Below are 6,000 nucleotides of genomic sequence, written 5' to 3'. Positions count from 1 at the left end.
AAAAGAGTCCTCACTCTTGAGTCACAATTTGTGGCCCACAGAACTCCAAATAGTCTATTAGCAAACTCTTCTAGCATTTAATTTCATAGTATAGAAATACCTATAGTTCTTTGGGTATATACCCAGTAATGGGATGGCTGGGTCAAATGGTATTTCCAGATCTTGATCCCTGAGGAATCGCCACACTGACTTCCACAATGGTTGAACTTGTTTACAGTCCCACCAACAGTGTAAAAGTGTTCCTATTTCTCCACATCCTCTCCAGCACCTGTTGTTTCCTGACTTTTTAATGATCGCCATTCTAACTGGTGTGAGATGGTATCTCATTGTGGTTTTGATTTGCATTTCTCTGATGGCCAGTGATGGTGAGCATTTTTTCATATGTCTTTTGGCTGCATAAATGTCTTCTTTTGAGAAGTGTCTTTTCATGTCCTTCGCCCACTTTTTGATGGGGTTGTTTGTTCTTTTCTTGTAAATTTGTTTGAGTTCACTGTAGATTCTGGATATTAGCCCTTTGTCAGATGAGTAGGTTGCGAAAATTTTCTCCCATGTTGTAGGTTGCCTGTTCACTCTGACGGTAGTTTCTTTTGCTGTGCAGAAGCTCTTTAGTTTACTTAGATCCCATTTGTCAATTTTGCCTTCTGTTGCCATTGCTTTTGGTGTTTTAGACATGAAGTCCTTGCCCATGCCTATGTCCTGAATGGTAATGTCTAGGTTTTCTTCTAGGGTTTTTATGGTTTTAGGTCTAACATTTAAGTCTTTAATCCATCTTGAATTGATTTTTGTATAAGGTGTAAGGAAGGGATCCAGTTTCAGCTTTCTACATATGGCTAGCCAGTTTTCCCAGCACCATTTATTAAATAGGGAATCCTTTCCCCATTGCTTGTTTCTCTCAGGTTTGTCAAAGATCAGATAGTTGTAGATATGCAGCGTTATTTCTGAGGGCTCTGTTCTGTTCCCTTGATCTATATCTCTGTTTTGTTACCAGTACCATGCTGTTTTGGTTACTGTAGCCTTGTAGTATAGTTTGAAGTCAGGTAGCGTGATGCCTCCAGCTTTGTTCTTTTGGCTCAGGATTGACTTGGCGATGCGGGCTCTTTTTTGGTTCCATATGAACTTTAAAGTAGTTTTTTCCAATTCTGTGAAGAAAGTCATTAGTAGCTTGATGGGGATGGCATTGAATCTGTAAATTACCTTGGGCAGGATGGCCATTTTCACGATATGGATTCTTCCTACCCATGAGCATGGAATGTTCTTCCATTTGTTTGTATCCTCTTTTATTTCCTTGAGCAGTGGTTTGTAGTTCTCCTTGAATAGGTCCTTCACATCCCTTGTAAGTTGGATTCCTAGGTGTTTTATTCTCTTTGAAGCAATTGTGAATGGGAGTTCACTCATGATTTGGCTCTCTGTCTGTTGTTGGTGTATAAGAATGCTTGTGATTTTTGTACATTGATTTTGTATCCTGAGACTTTGCTGAAGTTGCTTATCAGCTGAAGGAGATTTTGGGCTGAGACAATGGGGTTTTCTAGATATACAATCATGTCGTCTGCAAACAGGGACAATTTGACTTCCTTTTTTCCTAATTGAATACCCTTTATTTCCTTCTCCTGCCTAATTGCCCTGGCCAGAACTTCCAACACTATGTTGAATAGGAGTGGTGAGAGAGGGCATCCCTGTCTTTTGCCAGTTTTCAAAGGGAATGCTTCCAGTTTTTGCCCATTCAGTATGATATTGGCTGTAGGTTTGTCATAGATAGCTCTTATTATTTTGAGATACGTCCCATCAATACCTAATTTATTGAGAGTTTTTCGCATGAATGGTTGTTGAATTTTGTCAAAGGCCTTTTCTGCATCTATTGAGATAATCATGTGGTTTTTGTCTTTGGTTCTGTTTATATGCTGGATTACATTTATTCATTTGCGTATATTGAACCAGCCTTGCATCTCTGGGATGAATCCCACTTGATCATGGTGGATAAGCTTTTTGATGTGCTGCTAGATTCGGTTTGCCAGTATTTTATTGAGGATTTTTGCATCAATGTTCATCAAGGATATTGGTCTAAAATTCTCTTTTTTGGTTGTGTCTCTGCCCGGCTTTGGTATCAGGATGATGCTGGCCTCATAAAATGAGTTAGGGAGGATTCCTTCTTTTTCTATTGATTGGAATAGTTTCAGAAGGAATGGTATCAGTTCCTCCTTGTACCTCTGGTAGAATTCGGCTGTGAATCCATCTCGTCCTGGACTGTTTTTGGCTGGTAAGCTATTGATTATTGCCACAATTTCAGCTCCTGTTATTGGTCTATTCAGAGATTCAACTTCTTCCTGGTTTAGTCTTGGGAGAGTGTATGTGTTGAGGAATTTATCCATTTCTTCTAGATTTTCTAGTTTATTTGCATAGAGGTGTTTGTGGTATTCTCTGATGGTAGTTTATATTTCTGTAGGATCGGTGGTGATATCCCCTTTATCATTTTTTATTGTGTCTATTTGATTCTTCTGTCTTTTTTTCTTTATTAGTCTTGCTAGCGGTCTATCAAAAGGACTATAAATCATGCTGCTATAAAGACACATGCACATATATGTTTATCACGGCATTATTCACAATAGCAAAGACTTGGAACTAACCCAAATGTCCAACAATGATAGACTGGATTAAGAAAATGTGGCACATATACACCATGGAATACTATACAGCCATAAAAAATGATGAGTTCATGTCCTTTGTAGGGACATGGATGAAATTGGAAATCATCATTCTCAGTAAACTATCACAAGAACAAAAAACCAAACACCGCATATTCTCACTCATAGGTGGGAATTGAACAATGAGAACACGTGGACACAGGAAGGGCAACATCACACTCTGGGGACTGTTGTGGGGTGGTGGGAGGGGGGAGGGATAGCATCAGGAGATATACCTAATGCTAGATGACGAGTTAGTGGGTGCAGCACACCAGCATGGCACATGTATACATATGTAACTAACCTGCACATTGTGCACATGTACCCTAAAACTTAAAGTATAGTAATAATAAATAAAAATAAATAAAAATAAAGATTTACTTAAGTCACATGAACTTGGAAAAAAAAAAAGAGAAATACCTATAGTTTAAATTCTGGTACAACAATATTTTCCTTGTAACATGCTTTATCACAGGCTTATTAGATGTGTTGCTCTCTTCCAAAGTCCTCTTACCCAGAAAGTTGGAGTGAGGAGCTCATGCAATCCATTGCTTTGATAAACTCATCTGTGTGCTTTAAAACACTGAAAACCGTGAATATAAGAATAGTCCTTCTATATTTCTTTTATCAAATAAAAAACTGGAACTACTTCTATGTACATTGTAACTAAGAGTTTATCAAGGTGTTCCTGAATTTTTTCCTGAATCTTGCCTCTGGTCTCTTTGCTTAATGTATTTTTGGTAGATACAATGATAATAAATTAATAGCTACCATTTAATGAACCAGATATTAAAGCACAAAATTAATACATATAATAACATTTAATTCTCAGGAAAACTTCTTTTTAAAATAAAAAAGCTAATTCTGAAAGAAGTGGGGCTGCTTCCCCACACTCACAGAAGCCAGAAGGTGGGAGCACATGTCCACATTCTCTCCACTATGCCAGACCACCTGCTTGCATGCATGTCTCATGGAGAAGCCTGTTAATAGTTTTCATAGGGGTGACATTTCCAGGAGGGTGGAATTAGCTTCCTCATTTTTACACTTCACAACTTCTCCTTTTTGTGCCTCATAGAAACACAGGGATCAGGAAAATAAGAAGCCATTCCCATGTCTTCACTTAGGAATAAGTATCAATAATCTAAAGAGATAAAAGTAATCTTCTGTCTAAAAACTTTTAAGAGTTTCCAGTATGTTCTAAACCTTTTTTTCCAGAAAATATCTTTATTATATTTCACTTGAGAAATTTCAAGTCTTGAGACCTTAATAGCGGTAGCAACAGCAGCAATACATGTACCATGCTTACTGTAAAGCTGGACTTCTTTTAAGGCTTTTACAAAATTGAATCACAGCTGGGCACAGTGAGCTCATGTCTGTAATCCCAACACTTTGGCAGGCTTAGGTGGAAGGCTCACTTGAGCCCAGGAGTTCAAAAACAGCCTGAGCAACATCTCTCAAAATCTGAGACCCCATCTCTGCAAAAAATACAAAATTAGCCAGTATGGAGGTATGTTCCTGTAGTCTCAACTTCTCAGGAGGCTGAGGCAGGAGGATTGCTTGAACTCATGAGTTTGAGGCTGCAGTGAGCCATGATCATGCTACTGCACTCCAGCCTTGGCTACAGAGCAAGACTACCTCAAAAAAAAGAAAAAAAAAAAAAGGATCCCATAGCCCTCATAACAACCTGGGGAGGTTGGTACCATTATTGACTTTGTTTTATATATTAGAAAACTAAAGCAGAGATAGTAGATAATGTGCCTAAAATCATACTGATCTGGGCAATTTGCTTTCTCTCTTTCATAAGTTTCCTTAGAAATAAGAATGGGCAGCATCTCTGTCTTAGGAATATTTATCTCTGGAGTAATATGGCAGCTCCTTGCTTTATTAATGTGAATTTGGTGATTACGTAAAATCTTTTTTAAAAAATGTGTTTTAATCTCATGACTTTATGAGACTGAAAATGCTAACTTATCTAACTGAATGGCTGAAAAGTGATATAATGCACCATTCAGTCTGTCTGAAAAACAAAAGATAGATATATAACCAATCACTTCTCTGTCTGTATCTATCACAGTGGTGCTGACCTCCATCCCCTTCCCCCATCTTGTTCACCTTTTATTACCATTTCCTGAATGTGTCCTCTCCACCCCCACCCTAAAGACCATCCCTGGTGTCCAGAAGGCCTTATGAATTATCTTCAACTGGACAGACTTAATTCTAAGGTCCATTAATACTTTGAATATTGGCTAATATGTTTGTCTGATCTTGCATTTGAATGCATTTCCCTAATATTGAATTCCCAAATTGTTTTAAATTCTCCATTAGGATCATTTGGGGTAGTTAAAAATGTATGAAGGTTTGATGCCTCCTGATGTGAACCTGTCAGTCACTGCTGATGGCTGCAGTCAGAGACTCAGGTGATGAGGATCTGAGTTGCTGCTGGACTTAAGTGGAGCACTGTAGAGTCTTCATGCCTGAGTAGTATCTTAACATGCCTCTAATTTAATGCTTTTATCAGCTAATTCAGTTTCCTATCTAGATTGTATTGTTTTCTTCTGTTACAGTAGATAGCTGGGATAAAATGGAGAAGCAGGATGAGACAAAGCATTTCTAAGCATAACTCTATCAGCTTCTGAAATGTGCACTAGAAATGAGCTTGGCCCCTAAAATGAACCCTTTTCAAAAGGGATTTGAAAAAAAAAATTGAGGAGAAATTATTGAGATAAAACTTTAAAAACCCCAAACCTCAGCATCATACAATATACCCAGGTACAAACATGCACATGTACCCCCTGAATCTGAAAGAAAAGTTGACATTTTAAAGACTAATAAAAATAAATAAATAAATCCAGAATTTAGTCTTTTAGAAAACATCCAGATAAACTCAACAAGAATTGAGGTGGTAGTGGTTGAGAAGAGTTTGGAAGTCTATTCTGAAAATCAAATGATGAGCCATGCTGGGCTGCAAGCTACTTCACTCTTCTTTTGAATTATAGCCATGGAGAACCAGACTGGACCAATCCAACAAACTGTGACATTTGTAAAATTTTCTTTAAAGAGAAAAGAAAAAAAATATATAGATCTTTATTTCCACTGCAGTATGAGACCGAAATCTTTCAGAGCCATTTACGACTCCCAAAATAAAGCAATCCCATTGGTAGCAATTCGTTGCTCACACATGCTGAGATAAGTTTACCAATGCAGGGTGTTTGGATTATATTGAAGTTTGAAGTATTTGTTTGGGAAAAAAAATGGTTCCAATACATGGTCTGAGTCAAAGATTTCAACCTATGTGGACCAAACGAATATTGTTTGTAACACT

This window comes from Homo sapiens, chromosome 8 (assembly GCF_000001405.40).
Source record: "Homo sapiens chromosome 8, GRCh38.p14 Primary Assembly".
Taxonomy (NCBI): Eukaryota; Metazoa; Chordata; class Mammalia; order Primates; family Hominidae; genus Homo; species Homo sapiens.
The sequence above is the reverse complement of the archived record's forward strand: the minus strand, read 5'-3'. Positions refer to the sequence as shown.